This window comes from Homo sapiens, chromosome 3 (assembly GCF_000001405.40).
Source record: "Homo sapiens chromosome 3, GRCh38.p14 Primary Assembly".
NCBI classification, from domain to species: domain Eukaryota; kingdom Metazoa; phylum Chordata; class Mammalia; order Primates; family Hominidae; genus Homo; species Homo sapiens.
Genome location: NC_000003.12, coordinates 182,463,666 through 182,482,281, shown reverse-complemented (window position 1 = coordinate 182,482,281; position 18,616 = coordinate 182,463,666). Strand labels below are relative to the sequence as shown.

Here is an 18,616-nt window from a genome sequence, read left to right as displayed (position 1 = left end):
TCTACTTACAGTGAGTCTTTGAGAAAAAACACAAAAAACTATGTTGGTTAACAAAAGCATCAAACGCACATTCCCTCTAGGTTTCTAACAGTGCCCTGACTGGCATAGAGCTGGCATTCAACAATTGGTTATATATATTGGACATTGATTTAAAGAAAAACCATACTGATGTACTTATTCATTAAGTACAACTATTTATTGAGCATCAGCTGTGTGCCAGGCACTGTACTAGGTGCTACGGATATAACAGGAAATAAGACATTCTCCTTGAATTCAAAGAGCTTCAGAGAAAGGCAGTAAGAAGAAACACAAAAATGACATTTTCAGGAGGTAGTGGGTTGATAAAAATGAGGTGGGGGAAATCCTTGCTTTCTGAATTTCTTTTTAAAAAGTGTATCAACCTCCCAATTAAAAGAGGTTTTCCTCGATGACATTCAGACACAAGCTAAAATCGTCATAAATACATGAAACAGAGATATTGCACTGTAGATGGTAGCTAAGCTTCTTATTTAAAAATAAAGAATGTGGCCGGGCGCGGTGGCTCACGCCTGTAATCCCAGCACTTTGGGAGGCCGAGGCGGGTGGATCATGAGGTCAGGAGATCGAGACCATCCTGGCTAACAAGGTGAAACCCCGTCTCTACTAAAAATACAAAAAATTAGCCGGGCGCGGTGGCGGGCGCCTGTAGTCCCAGCTACTGGGGAGGCTGAGGCAGGAGAATGGCGTGAACCCGGGAAGCGGAGCTTGCAGTGAGCCGAGATTGCGCCACTGCAGTCCGCAGTCTGGCCTGGGCGACAGAGCAAGACTCCGTCTCAAAAAAAAAAAAAAGAAAAAAAAAAAATAAAGGATGTTTAATGATTTTTCAGTGAAAGGAGAACTGCTAAAGCTCATCTGACTGGGGTGATTTTGGCCATCCAAGCACTCAGAATTGGTGAGTGTTGTTTCTGCAGAAGGGCTAAAGCTACTGCTGGGCAGCTTTTTCCTCACTGTTGCTAAGGCCTGCTAGGAGTCATGATAAATTTTGAGATTCAACTGAAAGAAGAACAAGTTTCACGGGAGACCTCCAAGTCACTTGGTTTGAAGTAGGCACCAAAGTTAATTCATTTAGTTTCTCATGATGAGACTTTCAGGCAACATGTAGATCTTGACTGGTCCATTCATATAGCAGACATGTGCTATTACATGCCCTACACGTACCAGGCTCCGTGCTAATGTTTGGTTTTGAGAGAGGAACAAAACAGACAATGGCTCTGCCCTCATGGGGTTTAGTTTCCCATTTTCCTGTTGGAGAGGGAGAGGTAATACAAATTTCAAACAACAGACGGGGTGACTGCAGGTTTCTAAAAGTACCATTCTAGTGGCTATCTTTTATTTTGGCTTTTTGGTAACAGCAACCCAATTCTCCTTGGCATATGGTGTTATATTGGTCAAGGGATTCTGTCTTTCTCTAGCCAGGAAGTGGGCTTGTGATCCAAGCTTAATCAATCAGAATCTCTTTCCTGGAGTTTTGAGGGGCTTGGTGTTGATTCCATGAGCATGTGGCCAGATTCTGAAAAGAAGATCCCCATTGATATCGCAGTATAGTCATGAACGGCCACAATGGACTGGACCAGTGAGTTAAGGGTAACTTTTGCTTTACTTTGCCATTCGTTGGGCTGGGTTATTAAACTAGATTGACCCTAAATTCCTTTCACCTAGTGCTTCCTTTTTGGAAATCAGTAGGGATCATTCAGAAGAAGAATGTAAGCATAGACATGCTGACTGGATCAACATGGTATAATGGAAAGAGCTTGGGGTTGTACTGATTTTGGTATGCTTACTGGGCAGTTTCTTCCAGTCTAAAATTGGAAGTGTAACACCAGCTCCACAAGGTTTTTGGGAAATTTAAATCTAGAAGGCCCCATTTAATGCCCATGCCCATGAATGTCAGTTCTTTGCCCTTACCTACTTTCACTTCTCCTGCCCGAGCCCTACCACATACTGTCTTCATAAATAGTATGTTGCCAAGTTGGCTGGAAATTGTAAAATAATGGCAAAAATGTGCAATAACAACTCTGGAGAAAGAGATGAGATAGGGTTGGAAAGCTGATAAGTGAATCTTCAGCCACTTCCTCCTCCCTTCAGATAGCGTGGGTTTGGAGTGAAGTGTGGGCCGGAAATTTGACAATTGGCTAGATCTGTGGCTCGTGAACTCTGCCTGGCATGAACACTTCTATTTCAGCACATCTGTGATTGCCATATCACCAGCATTTGCAGAAATGGAGGATTAATTTTATTGTGCATTAGCTCAGCAGATCTGGTGACATAATATTGCACTACGAAGAAGGATTACTCACCAGTTTCTGGATGCTACATTTTTAGAAACTAACTCCACTTAACGATAAGTGTTGGATCTAACAACTTCCCCCTTTTCCCCACTCCCACTCTCCAATCACCCAACCAACAAATATTCCTTAATGTAAAAACCAGCTCTCATGGGACCAGATGGATACAATTTTTCTTCAGGAAAAAATTCTGGATATTTCCCCAAAGTAAAAATTTTATAATACTTCTTCATTTATTAAAAACAGATGTGCCATGTTTATAATATCACTCCAAGCCCCCCTTTTTTTGGTTTATGGAAAGCAATTTGGGAAGGTAAAATAATATAGCATTTGTGAGTCATTTCTGAAGAAAAAATGCAAAAACTGTACAGTAGTCTGCAAGCCAGACAGGGGATATGGTCATAAGGAAATATGGCTACATCCCAGGGCAAACAAAGAGGAGACTTTGTTTCTACTTCTGTCGTACATCTACTCAGGGTTTCGACATATCCTTTTTTCACCTATGACCTCCATCTGCAGAAAAAGAGACTCAGAGACAGGCTGTTAGTAAGGTCTAGTGGCTGGCAGAACTCAGTCGCACACTGCATCCTATAATCTTCCTACTTGCCACTAAGCCAGTACCATTTCCCTTACCTGTTGTCTTTTTTAAAGAACTTTTCCCCCATCCTCATCTAGGCTACCTCACAGAGCCTTCTTTTTCTCCAGGTAGCACACCTTAAAAACTATTCCTTCCTTTCTCTATAGCCTCTTTGTCCATTCTGTCATTTCTACTTGCTGATGTTTAACCAGCTGCTGGGCTACTGTGTCACTTAGGTAGCTGTATTTAAAGTCCATGGAGTGCGGAGTATACAGTGAGTAGGGCCCTGTGGACAAATGCAGAAATGAAATGTGCGTGTGCGTGTTCTTTATTGGGTGCTTATTGCATGCCAGGCACTGCCCTAAGTTAGTTTTTAGAGTTCGTTGTATTTAATTTTCACAATTTTCTATGCGGTATGAGTTTGGACAGACCTGCATTTAAACCCTGCTCTATCATTTACTTGTAAAAATATGTAAGCTTTAAGTAGGCAGTATCCATATTTTTATGGCTAATTCCTGTAATTTCTATTTGTATGGTTCAACAAAACAGCTTTATCTCTTATATAGCCAGGGAAGATTTTTAAAAAAATTATTAAAAATATTCTGTCAATATTCTTTGTATTTGAAGCTCTGATGGCAAAACTGGATATATGCCATATTCATTTTTTTAACAACATAAAGTACAAAGAAAGTGATAAAAAGTACACAAACTGCTCTAATTTAGTCTATGCAAGGAGCAGACAGTAAAATATAATGGTCTACTTATTCTTCTGTGATTGACAGCCAATCCTTGGAGCAATTTGCACTCTGATCAGATAGCAGGTTTTCTCCCATAACCTTGAGGTCCAAGTCTCTCTGCCCTTTATTGTGAAATTGTCTGCCCTTTGACCCTTTGAAAAGGTGGAGTCCCACATCTTCTAAAAGCCTTCCCTCAGTCCTGCACTGATGTGTACAGTAAATGACTGATTGTCTCCATTATATGACCATGGCAGGCACAGAGAAATACCTAACTCATTTTAGCAAAACTTATCCTAATTGGAACCATAATCAAAGATAACTGGAATACTCCAGAAACTTACCTGGAGACCTGGATTTGGTGTCTTTTGAAGTTTTGGTAAAATAAGTGGTACCTTCTTTATGCTCGTATTTTCTTTCCTTCCAATAGGGGAGTGAGGAAGAAAAAAAAAATTGAAAGGAAAGCTAAAGCATCTCTTCTTGCACAACCTTCCCTTCTCTCTTTCTCTGTAGCAGAAGGTGACACTGGGCTGCTGGGCTGGTTCAGAGGATTATGCACATAAAGTCCTTATCACCTGTGCTATTTAAAGTGGAATGGAAAAGTGCAGCTGAAAACATCCTGGGGGAAGCATTCTTTCCTAGGGCAGCCAAGGTACTTTTCATCTTCACCTGAAGGCAGCCCTCACCCAATTTAATACATCATTTAGTTCAGCATTAGTGAAAAAATCCTCCCCAGGCCTGCTCACAATGACCCTAGGGCTCCATAGAAAAAGACTGAGAAGGAGGGTTACCAGTTTTCACTTCCTCGGTTAGAAGTAGTAAAGGTAAACTGCAAACGTGGACATGGAGCCAAATGAGGAGGTTGAGGAGTGCAAGCTTTAAATGACAGAAAAGTGCTTTCTTTAAAGCTTCTGGGTCCTACCACCCAGCAGATAGGAGGAGAGCCTCAGATATAGTGACAGGTATGTAGGAAGGAAAGAAGGAAGGGAGGAAGAAAGAAGGAAGGAAAAATTACTGAGAACCCACTATGTTAAGTCTTTTGGCATTCTATCAGCTTCACAATACCATTTATGCTTTTATTATTCAATTGTAATTTTACAGAGTAGCAAACGCATACTCCAAAGAGTTGGGTAATTTCTCCAAAAATGCACACTAGCAAGGACAGGAACAGGAATTGAACCTAGATTATTTGTCCCAGTCTTTCCCTTTGCCCCTTTCAGGTGGCTTTGTTGTTCAGCGTTGACTCCAGGATTTCTACTTGAAACTAGGCCAGAGTTCAATCTGTGGGAGACCTCAGCATCCCCCAACTGGGAGCTTAAGGCCAGACCAGTTAACTAGAGCTTATCTTCAGGGATGTTCAGGGGAGATGCCACTCATACCTACTGGGAGGAAAAGAACAGGTATGGTATGTCTGTCTGTGGGTGGGGCTATGGCACTAACATGTCCCTATCATGGGGATACCTGCCAGCCATAATATTGGCCCTACAGTTCAAAGTGAGTCAAAAGCCCATTGCTAATTTCTTTATGCTTTCTAAATCTGAAAAAATAAATCATTAAATGGCAAGACTCTGGTTGCTCATTCTGCTAAACTGTACATTGTGTCCCTGTCTTCAACAAATGTGTGCTTTGGGATTATTATAATTTTGAAATTTAGTTTGATGGTTCTTTAAGTCGGTCATGCTTTATCCTGCTTAGAGTAACTTGCTACAGAACTTCATGCAGTCTTTTGATGGGTTTACCGTGATTTGAAAGCAAAGTCATGTCCCTCTCAACTGATCATCTTCCTTAATATCTGTGTGATTCACTACAACAAGATGCGGTTTAATGCTATCTGCCAAAATTGCGAATGATATATGTGCTCCAGGACATCTCTTGCCTCTTGTTATATACAGTTTTGAACCCAATGTTTGGAAGTTCTTTTGTGATTTGTCATTTAAGCAAAATATAGACAGACTAGGTTATCTTCTAAGAAGAGAGGATAGTTTCAAAATGTGTAAAAGACACTTGCAGAGAAATTCGAAGTAATTGGGTTTGCTACACTGATATTTTAGTATGGTAAATAAAACTCTTTCTTATAAAAACTTCTATGATAATTGCTGACATAATTTTAAAAAATAATTTAAACTAGTTGTCCAAGAATTTTGAGTTACCCGACGCTGGTCAAATGCCAACTTCAACATTTATTAGTTGTGTATTCTTGGGCAAGTTACACGAGTTTGCTAAGTCTTATATTTATCATCTGTAAAATGGGATATTGACACCTACTTAAGGAGTTTACTCAGGGAGATGAGGGTTAAATGAAATAAATTGACTAGTGTTCACACTCAGTAAAAGACATTCATTACATGGAATTTATTATTATTAATCCTAGACAGCAGTGTGCATTTTTCAGTGTTTTGACTAGCTGGGGTTTGGTGATATTATTCTGAATTTAAAACTCTCACAACCACAAAGGGCAGTAATCATAATGTACAAATATTTTTTTTTAACATGGAGATGTTTGGAAATGGAAATCAGCCAACCTCCTAATCTGATAATTCTAATAGAAATGGGAATCCATGAAGATTGTTATATTAAATCTTTACATACAGACAAGCCCCTATATACAATGCAGATGTTATGATAGATGTCAGTACTGGTATTAAGGTATGCTTCATGTTCTCATTACTAATACGCTATGATTAATTCAAATAAATATACCAAGAATATATAGTAGTGTAATTTTCTACTTCCTCACCAAAAGAATTATATGTGTCTTATGTTTAAAGAACTCTCCTGCTAAAATTGATGGAAGATATCACGTGGCAAATATAATGGTTTTTACCAGAACATGGTAAATGGTTTTTTACTATGGAACATGAAAAATATCTAGTAAAGGAAATTATTTTGATGTTAAAGGAGGAACTAAATAGCTACACACAAAATAACACCCATCAGAGGTTTGTTACATATGAATTTTATCTATGCCTTTTTTAGGTGTATTTGTGTTTTTAGTGGCTACTATGTCTTTAGATAATGAGTTCTCTGAGCAATTACCTAGCGAGTTGGATAAAACACAGGGTTCATATTTAAATGTGCACTTATTTGGTAAGTAACTAAGACTTCTTAGGTTCACTTAGAAGCAACTTAAGTTGCTTCTTCTGTAATTATGGATGGGGGTGCCTTCCTGGTGATATCAAGTTTGTAGAGAGTTTGTCAAGTAAGATTGTAGAAATTAGAGGGTTCTGTGGACAGAGAACTATACAATGTAAGAAATTCACTAACCTTGCCTTCTTCCTGGGTAAAATACATCTCCTCCTTGTAGTGTACTACTTATTGTGCCTAGGGATATTCATTAGAATTTGGTGAACAAATATATGTCAAAGACTTCATGTTTGAGAATTTCTTTAATGGATATGATGAAAAGTAAAAGAGCTAAAGATGCTACCGTTGTCTGCAGATTGACTAGAGATTACCAGTGACTTTTAAAATGCAATTTATGACAAATTTTTTTCATGTATTTATTTTCTCTAAAACCTTTCCGTTACTGCTTATATTAAGGAAATATGGAAAATTGGACAATTCACATTGTCCTCAACTGAAATATGTTACCTGTTTTACATTTATTTCATCTGGACAAAATTAATTATAATTTAATTTCCTTTTACTTTTCAAGAACTTGACCCTTAAGTAAATAAGAAATGGATCTGCTTGCTTTTTAAATTTATTTAATAATGTTTATAAGGATAAATGTTCTTTAAGAATGGAATAGTAAATATAGGTTCCAAAGATCATTTGTATAATGCATGCATATAGTTCCCCAATAGTTTCCTTCCTGATCCTCCAAATCATAAAAAAACCCAAATTTTCTGATTTTAAATACTTTTCATTTCAGGTAGTCTCCATCAGTTTCCCTTTACAAGTATGATTAGTTGTAAATATGGCCAACTTTTTTTTGGTCTTAATATTTGATTATCAATAGATTTTTTTTGCTGATAGAAATAAGGACAACTAAAAAGAAAAAAAAAGAAATAATTTGAGAGTGAGGCAGAGAAAAGGGTTCTTTATAAATAGATGTTTTCTGGAGTGGAAATTCATAGTTTCAAAAGGAAGTAAATCACTTAATTAGGTGGGGAATGGCATAGTACAACACAGACTCAGACACTGATTTCCCTTTCTGAAACATCTTTCTTGTTCCAGTTTTCTCTTTAATCCTCTGTACTAATGATGAGTGACATCATTTTTCATATTACCGGCTTTCCAAAGTGAACTGATATTTGGCATAACCAAAAAGGTACAATATCTAAAAGCACTAGGATATTTTAAAACCAGTCTTCTCAAGAAGAGATGATTATGCTTTACAAGAGGAAATATTTCTACCATTAGCCTTATTTCACTAACAAGTTTCTGGCCAAAAAGAAAGCAATAAATACCTACTCATGCTCAACTAATCTCAAATAACTTTTTAACAATCCATTTGTTTTGAAGTGCCAAATGCATATTCAGGATGTCGCCTCCCTGCCATTTCTTTATCACTTTTGTTGGATTTACTAGTACAAAAGAAATATGTCTTACAAAATTACTCTTAATCACATGGATTGAGATCAATAGTAAAATAAAATATTACATGTTGTCAACTGAAACGTTTCATCACATTTAATCTAACAGATCAGATTTGGGAGGCTACAAAATATGAACAATTCACATGAGAACAATGAATGGTAATTACTGAAGATGCCTATAAGATACATTTTATCAGTTCATGCCCTTTTGTTTTTCTAGGAGATGTTATAGTCTACCATCTACTCTTTAATATTGTTCATAATATCATGATCAAGAAAATTTGAGCTGGAAAGACAAGATGCAAGTAATTTACATTATGATTTTTAAATAATGAGTTCTCTCATTATTATTATTTTTAACAAATAATGCTAGTAAAAGTTCCTACTTGACTAGAGTTTTGACTAGTTGTGACAAACAGGGTCTCTCATCAGAACTTTGAGTTTAAAAGAGATTAATTTCAAGCAGATGAGTACTTCCTCCTGGGACAGCCTTCTCCAACCCGATGACCTTAAGGTTGAGTAGCTAAGCATATTTTTCTTACCTAAAAATAAAATCTAAGTTTTTTCCTTCCTTCCTTCCTTCCTTCCTTCCTTCCTTCCTTCCTTCCTTCCTTCCTTCCTTCCTTCTTCCCTCCCCCCCTTCCCTCCTTCCTTCCCTCCCCCATTTTTTTGGGGGGTAATTTCTGGCTTTTGCTTTTCATATCCCATTCTGTTCACCTACAAAATGAAAATAGACTCACTGACTTGATGTAATCAAATGTTGTAAGTCAATAAAAGTACAGCCAAGAAATTGAAGTTGGATTAAATTGAATGAGAGTTTGGGTCTAAAGTAAATATGACAGTAGACCTAAAAGGAAATTTATAAACTTTCTCTTTCTTTAATATTGTGATAGGCAGAATAATGCTCTCCACCCTACTCCAAATATGTCCGTGTCTTAATCCTTGGAGCCTATGAGTATGTCACATTACATGGCAAAGGGAAGCTAAGATTGTACCTAAAATTAAGGTTGCTAATTTGGTGATTTTATGATAGAGAGATTATACTGGATTATCTGGGCAGACCTGGTATACTTGCAAAAGTCTTTAAAAGTAGAAGAAGAAGACTGAAGAGGGGTCAGAGTGATATGATGTGAAAAGAAGTTGATCTCCCATTGCTGGTTTTGAGGATGGAGGAAGGCATCATAAGCCAAGAAAAGCAGGAAGCCGTCAGAAACTGGAAAAGTCAAGAAAACAGTTGTCCCCCAGAGTCTACAGAAGGGAATTCACCTCTGCTGACACCTTGATTTTGGCCCAGTGAGACCTGTGCTGAACTTCTAACCTATAGAACTATAAGATAATAAATTTATGTTTTAAGCCACCAAGTTTCGATAATTTGTTGCAGCAGCAATAGAAAACAAATACAAAATATACTCTCTTTCCTATAGTAATTTCTCTTTAATAACTTTTGGTGAGGAAGAATTTGTAAGGGAATGTATTTATCCTAACTTTTGGCTTATGATAATAGAGGAATTGGCTAGAATGAGTCAAAAATTATATTTTCTGTTACCCTTGAAACCAGCACGTTTGCAGAGTGAAAGTTTTTATTGTTTTTCTGCAGCATTTTATTATTTTATTTATTTATTTATTTATTTATTTATTTTTGAGGCAGGGTCTCACTTTGTCACCCAGGCTGGAGTGCAGTAGTGGCACAATCACAGCTCACTGCAACTTCAACCTCCTGGGTTCAAGCCATCTTCCTGCCTCAGCCTCCCGCATAGCTGGGACTATAAGCATGCACCACCATGCCTGGATAATTTTTAAATTTTGTTTTGTGTAGAGATGGGGTTCCACTATGTTGAACTTGACTCCTGGGCTCAGGTGATCCTCCTACCTCAGCCTCCCAAAGTGTTGGGATTACAGGCGTGAGCCATGGTGCTCAGCTCTGCAGCATTTTATATCTTATTTGCAAGAGCTGTGTGGACTTTCATTGGCTTCTTTCTTACCCTGGTTTACCCTGGAAAGCAGAGATTGAGAAAAGAGCTTGCATTCAGGTAGTTTTTTCAGGAAGTGACCCAAGGAATCAATAGGTAGAAGCAATTGTCATTGGCTCACATCACCCATTGAGGGTTGCCTTGGGTGGTGATCTCCCCTGCACTTGAGCTATGCATGCATCCATGCCCAGTAAACTCCTGTGGGTATCCCACTTCTTCAGTACCTGAAAAATGCCACAGCAGGCCAATGATATGCCTGAGGAAATATGTGGTCAGTATTGGAACTCTTTACCCCTTTTACCAAGTAATTGTTCACCACAGCTACAACTGCAAATGGCAACTGAAATAAGACTGAGAGGAAGTGAGGCAGAACGTGAGAGGCATCTGATTCAATCCATTCTCTGCATATGTTAAGACCAATTTGTCACTGAGTCTTCAAAGTGTTGGCAGCTGCAATCACTCCAAAAAGGAGCTTAATACAAAGTATTAGTGTAATAAGCTGCAATCTCCACTGCTGCAACTGAATCTGAGGTTATAATTGGTATTCATCATCTAGCTTCTCCAACACCCATTCTAGATTTCCCTCACCCTTGCCCAGCACTTCAGTTCCTCTAGACTGCCTGCTTGGTGGCATGCCATCTCCATCCTTGAGGGATCTGAGCTCTTAGCTTCCTTGTCCTTACTGGGCTGTGATTGCTAAAATTGGCTATTGACCAGTATCACTTTGCATAGAAGTACCCAGAGACCCCCAGTGAATCCCCGTATTCCAGATTCTGTCTGTTCTCATTGTATGGTAAGAAACCCTACTCCTCAAGATAATCACATTTGCTTACCTCCCGAAACAATAGTAACTCCTTTCTTTGCTTGTTAGGTCACTGGCATGAGGAACCCAAAGTAGAGGCAGGCGGTAGTCATAGTTTCCGCCTCATTGAGATTCTTATCATTTCCTTTCAGTGAAAGCAGCACTCCTCTGGGTATCAGGACCTCTGAATCCTATAAAACCTAAAGGTGCAGGGACAAGAAGCACACATTCTGTAAGTAGACCACTGAGAATCCACTGGGAATGATGGTGAGAGGGTCAAACAACTATATAGACCTGTTTATTTTAGTTACTGGGGGCATAACATCACTATTTGTTTAATTAATATATTTGTTCTTGGTGGACAATGTCCCAACTTCACAGAGGTCTTTGCCCTGAGTTAGCACCTTAGTTGAACCTTTAACAAGCAATTCCATCATTATAAGTAGGTGAATTTTTTTCAGGTGATGCACTATATAGTAGAAATAATTAATCATTTGGTCATGAATTGATTGTTGCAAACTTTTCTCTGTAAAATGGAACCCTTGATTTTTAGTGATAATATATGGGAATCCATATAATCAACAAGGTACATTATATGCCTTTGAATGGTGGTGCTGTCAGACATGGCAGACAGGAATATCAAAGCCATATGGGAGTAAGTATCGACTCCAGTAAGGATGAATCATTGCCCCCTCCAGGGTGGAAGGGATTTGATGTAATCAACCTGCTACCGAGTGTTTGGCTGATCTTAGGTTTTGCTGCTTTATCAAAGGATTCATGCCAGCTTGTTAACAGTTTGGCACATTGTGTATTCAACAGCAGCCTTAATAAGTGGGAGCCCAAACTGTTGGGTTCTTCCATGCACAGCCTCTATTCCTGTTACCGTTGGTATTTCATTATTGGACCTAATGGATAAGCACATTGGGTGGTCAAGGACAGTGGCTGTCTGACATCCACAGGATGAGTCATCCTGGTTGTTTGGTGTCTCCTCTGACTTTGATATTCTCTGGTGGGAAGTAGCATGAGATCTGTGCCCACTTCAATGGGTCTGTCACTTGCTTCTCTAGACAATTTTTTCCTCTCTGATCTTCCAAATTGGTTCCTTTCAGGCCCTGACCAACCAACCAAGCTGTTTGCCAATACTCAGGAGTCCATGTATGTCCTTCTTAAGCTACTTCTTCTTACATAAAAAGTAAATAATCAAATTTACTGCTCTCAGCTCTGTCCACTGGAAGGACTGTCCCTCACAACCGACATTTAGATCCATCCCTAAGTGGGGCTATGGTGCAACGGAAGTCCATTTTCAGTTTGTACTGACATAGTGTATACAACCCAGCTGTGAACTGAGACCGATATATTTTTTTCCTTCATCAGCTGACTGTATAAATACTTCCCATGCCCTCAATAAGATTTTAGTTGTGAGTTGATGTTCAGACATTGATGACATAGAGTTAGGTGGTGTGAGTATCGGAAGTCCTGCTCATGTAGCATTTTTGTATTCTCTGGCTCTGCTTGGTCCTGATTTTTAATTGCTTCTATACTAGGATGGATTGCTGCTGTATTTGTCTGTCATTATGATTTGGTAGATCTAAAAGGCCAGTTCATTATGGGCAGCAAAACTTACATAGCCATTCAGTCAGACAGTCTCTGTAAAGGCTCAGTAGCAGCCAGGGGCTGCTTTGCAAAAAACGAATGTAGTTCATGCTACAGAAGATGCGGTCTTGCTCCAAAATACAAAGGACCTTTCTGCTCTGGTTTTGTATTGGCGTTTTCCAGAGACCCTACACCCGTGTTTACAATGGATCAATATATTCACCATGGATATGGGTAGTGCCGTACTGCTGATTATATAGTTTGAAGAGTAAGGCAGTTTGCAGTGCTGCCTGGATTTGTTGTTGAGCCTTCTTTTTGCTCTGAATGCCATTGAAACTGTGAGCCTTCCAAGTTACCCAACAAATAAACAGTAGTACTCCTCAGAGCAGTATATGCTGTCTCTGAAATCCAAAAGAGATGACTAAACACTCTGTCTTTTTCTTAGTGGTGGGGAATGTGAGATGAATCAACTTATTTTTTATTTCAGAGATGTTATCTTAGACATGCCCCAGATTCTTGGACTCCTAAACACTTCATCAAATATGATAAAGCAAGTGTGGTAAGATGTTAATTATAAAATCTAGGTGGCAAAAGCAAGACTAAGCAAAAAGAACAAATCTGGAGGCATCACATTATCCGACTTCGAACTATACTTTACGGTCATAGTCTCCAAAACAGCATGATCCTGGTATAAAAATAGGCACATAGACCAATGGAACAGAATAGAGAGCCCAGAAATAAACCCACATACTTACAGCCAACTGATCTTCAACAAAGCGGACAAAAACATACAGTAGGAAAAGGACACCCTATTTAACCAATGGTGCTGGGAGAATTGGCTAGACACATGTAGAAGAATGAAACTGGATTCTCATCTCTCACCTCATACAAAAATCAACCAAGATGGATAAAAGACTGAAACCTAAGACCTGAAACCATAAAGATTCTAGAAGATAACGTTGGAAAAACCCTTCTAGACACTGGCTTAGGCAAAGATTTTATGACCAAGAACACAAAAGCAAAAGTAACAAAAACAAAGATAAATAGATGGGACTTAATTAAACTAAAAAGCTTCTGCACAGCAAAAGAAATAATCAGCAGAGTTAATTGGCAACCCACAGAGTGGGAGAAAATCTTCACAATCTATACATCTGACAAAGGACTAATATCAAGAATCTACACAAACTCAAACAAATTAGCAACAAACAAACAAACAATCCCATCAAAAAGAGGGCTAAGGACATGAGTAAACAATTCTCAAAAGAAGATATACAAATGGCCAACAAGCAAATGGAAAAATGCTCAATACGACTAATTATCAGGGAAATGCAAATCAAAACTGCAATGTGATACCAACTCACTCCTTCAAGAATGGTCATAATCAAAAATAAAAAAAAAATAGATGTTGGCCTGGATGCGGTGGAAAGAGAACACTTTTGCACTGTTGGTGGGAATGTAAACTAGTACAACCACTATGGAAAACATTGTGGAGATTCCTTAAAGAGTTAAAAGTAGAACTACCATATGATCCAGCAATCCCACTATTGGGTATCTACCCAGAGGAAAAGAAGCCATTGTGCGAAAAAGATACTTGCACATGCGTGTTTACAGCAGCACAATTTGCGATTGCAAAAGTATGTAACCGGCCCAAATGCCCACCAATCAACAAGTGGATAAAGGAAATGTGGTATATCTATGTATGTGTGTGTATATATATCTATACAAACATACCATGGAATACTACTCAGCGATAAAAAGGAATGAAATAATGACATTTGCAGCAACCTGGATGGAATTGGTGACTATTATTCTAAGTCACCAATTGGTGACTATTATTCTAAGTCACCAATTGGTGACTATTATTCTAAGTCACCAATTGGTGACTTATTCTAAGTCCTGAGTTAGGACTCAGGAATGAAAAACCAAACATCATATGTTCTCATTCATATGTGGGAGCTAAGCTATGAGGATGCAAAGGGATAAGAATAATACACTGGACTTCGGGGACTCAGGGGAAAGGGTGGGGGGTTGCTAGGGATAAAAGACTACACGTTGGGCACAGTGAACACTGCTCGGGTGATGGGTGCACCAAAATCTCAGAAATCAACCCTGGAGAACTTATTCATGTAACCAAACACTACCTGTTCCCCAAAAACCTATTGAAATAAATTAAAAATTTTTTAAATTCTCGATAAAAATCTAGATGGTGAATACTCAGAAGTTCACTGTAAAGCTATCTCAACTTTTCTGTACGTTTGAAATGTTTATAATAAAATAAAAGGAAAAAATGTTTGTTGATATGTCAGACACCTGAATCTTTATAGGCCTTCTCTTCTACCTGTGCTATGCATGTATCTAATTAGCACTAAATAATATTGCATTGTCTGGATGTACCACAGTTTATTTATCCATTTACCTATTGAAGGATGTCTTTATTGCTTCCAAGTTTTGGCAATTATAAATAAGGCTGCTATAAACATTCATATACAGGTTTCTGTGTGAGCATGAGTTTTCAGTTCCATTGGATAATACCAAGAAACATGATTGCTGGATCATATGGTTGCATCTAGTTTGCTATCTTAGCTAAGGTATGGGGTGAAATTATGGGAGCTTCCACTTGGTGCTTTTTACCATAATAACTCTTACTTAATAGGTCAGGGAACCAATGAAAGGCCTTTTAAAAGTATTTACCCTGTGGTAACAGGGTAAATACTTGAGCCCATTGGACTCAGTGTGAGATGGTGTTAAGCCAATTCCTTTAAAAGAGTAAATATACACCAGGCATGGTGGCTCACACTTGTAATCCCAGCATTTTGGGAGGCTGAGGTGGGCGGATCACCTGAGGATGAGAGTTCGAGACCAGCCTGACCAACATGGAGAAACCCTGTCTCTACTAAAAATACAAATTAGCCAGGCGTGGTGGCACATGCCTGTAATCCCAGCTACTCAGGAGGCTGAGGCAGGACAATGGCTTGAACTCGGGAGGTGGAGGTTGCAGTGAGCCGAGATCAAGCCATTGCACTCCAGCCTGGGCAAGAGGAACAAAATTCCATCTCAAAAAAAAGAAAAAAAGAAAAAAAAGTAAATATACACTATGGGAAAGAGAATACTGAGAACTTTCAAGTCCAGTTGGGTAAAGAGACTAAGGTGTTTCTTATACCAGGGGATCCAAGATGCCATCATGGCTCTGTGGAATGATTAACTTAAGGATTCCAGATGAAATTCAAGCTTCAGTTTTCTCCTTTAACGTGAAAATATTAATTACACCTATTTCATTGGGTTACAATAAGGATAAATGAGATAATTCTGGCATTTAGCATGTTCTCAATTCATGCTAGCTATAGTGTTAATACTAGAGCTAATGTTGCTGACTTTAAAAATATGTTTCTTAGAATTGTCTCCATAAAAGAAAATACTAACAAATGACAGAAGGAGGAGACACAGAAGAAAGGGGAGAACAGAAAGGAGGGGAAAACATAAAAAAGTATAAAGAAAAAAGAAAGAAAGAAAGACATAAAAACAAAAGAAAATGATTTTAAAATGACAGAAAGAAAAGAAAGAAAGGGAGAGAAAGAGACCTCAGCTACCAGGGTGCTATGAATAAAGGTATGAAACATGCCAGAGGCCATGTGAAAACAAATGTTTTTCTGAATGTACTATAAGACTGTTGCATATTTCAACAACTGAGCACTGGCTTTGGCTCAAGTAAAGCCAAAGGTTCAGGTTTAAAACTACAGTCATGAGAGTGACACCACCAGCATGGCAAATAGAAGCTTCTGAGTCTCCCTCCACCCACAGATGCACTGAATAAACATCTATCCATGGATCCATTCCCTCTGAGAGAAAGTCAGAGACCAATTGAGAGACTCCTACCCACTGAGCAACTAAGAAAACAACATAAAACAGGTAGGAGACGCCCAGGCGCACTTGGGCATAGACCTCACCCTGGGCACTATGCCATAAAATTGGAAAAGGAGTCTCCAACACCCAGTTTCTCCCCATGGAGAAGAGTGTCTGGACCTCACACAGAGGGCCTTGACCTCATGCTTCCCTGTTGTTTTATACACAGCAGGGATTAGACACACACGTGTCCCCCCAGGCTATAGGAAATAAAGTGGTGGTCTTATATGGATTTTCATTCACCTCCAGGTATTTCATCCCCTAGTATCAGTGCACAGAAGAGGCTTTAAAAAAAACCACAGCCCTCTATTGCCTACTCTCACCACAAAACACTTTCAGTGACTGCCAAGCAGGCAAGTGGCCTGGCTTCAAGCTAACTTGCATTGTAGAGTTAAAGAGACAGCCAATTCCAGACACCAGTCTGGAAGGAGTTTGCACCCATACTAAGCACCCCAACTTTTACCACATCCACCTAAAAGACTGTATCATTAATCTCATGGCTTTTGGAGCAGAGGGGACTAGCATACACACATCTCCCTGGATAGCAAGAAAGAAATAGTGTCTTTAAACATGCATGCAAGCACCATCAGGGACTTCATCCCTCTGGAGTGGTGCAGAGAAGGGGCCTAAAAAAATGAAACTCCCTGTTTCTCCACCAGAAGGGGTTTAGAACACACACTGAGAGCACCAAATTGTTAAAGCTTCCTCTTGAAGGGCTCCATCCTAAACCTAGTAGCTCTGGGAACAGAAGGAAATAAACATATGTGAGTCTTCCCTGATCCCAGAACAAAGAGGTGATTTTAAATGGGCATCCAAATACTTCCAGGGGTTATAACCCCTTGGGGCAGTGCAGGAAAGAAGCAGGCACATGGAGCTCTCCCTTTCTCTTCATAAGAGGCTTACCACACCCACACTCAGTGGCTACTTGACAGCTTGGACTCTAATAAACTTGCATCAGGGAGCCCGTGAGGCAAGCAAACAGTAGCCCTCCATTAGCTGAAGCCAGAGCTTGGCACTTATCTCCCTGGCTTGCCACAGAGATAAATTCAGGCCCATCCAGTCTTTCTGGGAGGAGTTTGGCCATGCACCATGTGTCACAACTTCCATAGCTCCTACCCAAGGGACTGTTTCCTTAACAACCTTCCTCTGGAAGTTCAGAGGACTTTGCTATTTGGAGTAACCCAAGGCCATAGAAAACAAACAGGTGGATGTATAACGGGCCTACTCCCAGAAGCTATCTCTCCAGGATCAGAAGGTGCAGCCTGAACATGAATCCAGGCATTTGCCACAGATCTTCTCCTGGACTAGTCCAGAGAGAGTGGGATATAGACACCTGAACCAAGCCTCACTGTGAGACAGAAAGATTTGGAACTCACACCCACTCCCCCAAGCTTTCCAGCTACATCTAAAGAGTCTGGCATCCCTCAAACTGGTCTTGGGATACTGACAAGACATGGTACATCCTAAGTTTTAGGGGACTGTATTAGTCCATTTTCACATTGCTGATAAAGGCATACCCTGAACTGGGCAATTTACAAAAAAAAAGAGGTTTATTGGGCTTACAGTTTCATGTGGCTGGGGAGGTCTCACAATCATGGTGGAAGGTAAAAGGCATATCTCACATGGTGGCAGACAAGAGAAGAGGGCTCGTTCAAGGAAACTCTCATTTTTATATAACCATCAGATCTTGTGAGACTTATTCACTATCATGAGAACAGCACAGGAAAGACCTGCCCCAATGATTCAATTACCTCCCACTGGATCCTTCCCACAACATGTGGAAATTCAAGATGAGATTTGGGTGGGGACACAGCCAAACCATATCATTCCACCCCTGACCCCTCCCAAATCTCATGTCCTCACATTTCAAAACCAATCATGCCTTCCTAACAGTTCTCCAAAGTCTTAACTCATTTCAGCATTAACTCAAAAGTCCACAGTCCAAAGTCTCATCTGAGACAAGGCAAGTCCCTGCTACCTACAAGCCTGTAGAATCAAAAGCAAGTTAGTTACTTCCTAGATACAATGGGGGTACAGGTACAGGCATCGGGCAAATACAGCCATTCCAAATGGGAGAAACTGGCCAAAGCAAAATGGCTACAGGCCCCATGAAAGTCCAAAATCCAGCAGGCCAGTCAAATCTTAAAGTTCCAAAATAATATCCTTTGACTCCAT

The 18,616-nt window shown here is 39.4% G+C and overlaps 1 long non-coding RNA gene across 1 annotated transcript in view, besides 1 other annotated feature; it reads left to right on the top strand.

Moving 5' to 3' along the window:
• LINC01994 (long intergenic non-protein coding RNA 1994) overlaps positions 1-18,616 on the top strand; it is a 39,393-nt gene that overhangs the window by 4,081 nt on the left and 16,696 nt on the right. Inside the window, exon 2 of the long non-coding RNA NR_040105.1 lies at positions 11,101-11,180. This is a non-coding gene — a long non-coding RNA (long intergenic non-protein coding RNA 1994). The remainder of the gene's footprint in view (positions 1-11,100; positions 11,181-18,616) is intronic.
• Positions 1,967-2,261: a silencer, noted in NCBI's record as "tiled region #13029; K562 Repressive DNase matched - State 8:EnhW". NCBI's record gives its function as "represses a minimal TATA promoter and a strong SV40 promoter by Sharpr-MPRA in K562 cells {active_cell/tissue: K562}" and the evidence as "EXISTENCE:reporter gene assay evidence [ECO:0000049][PMID:27701403]".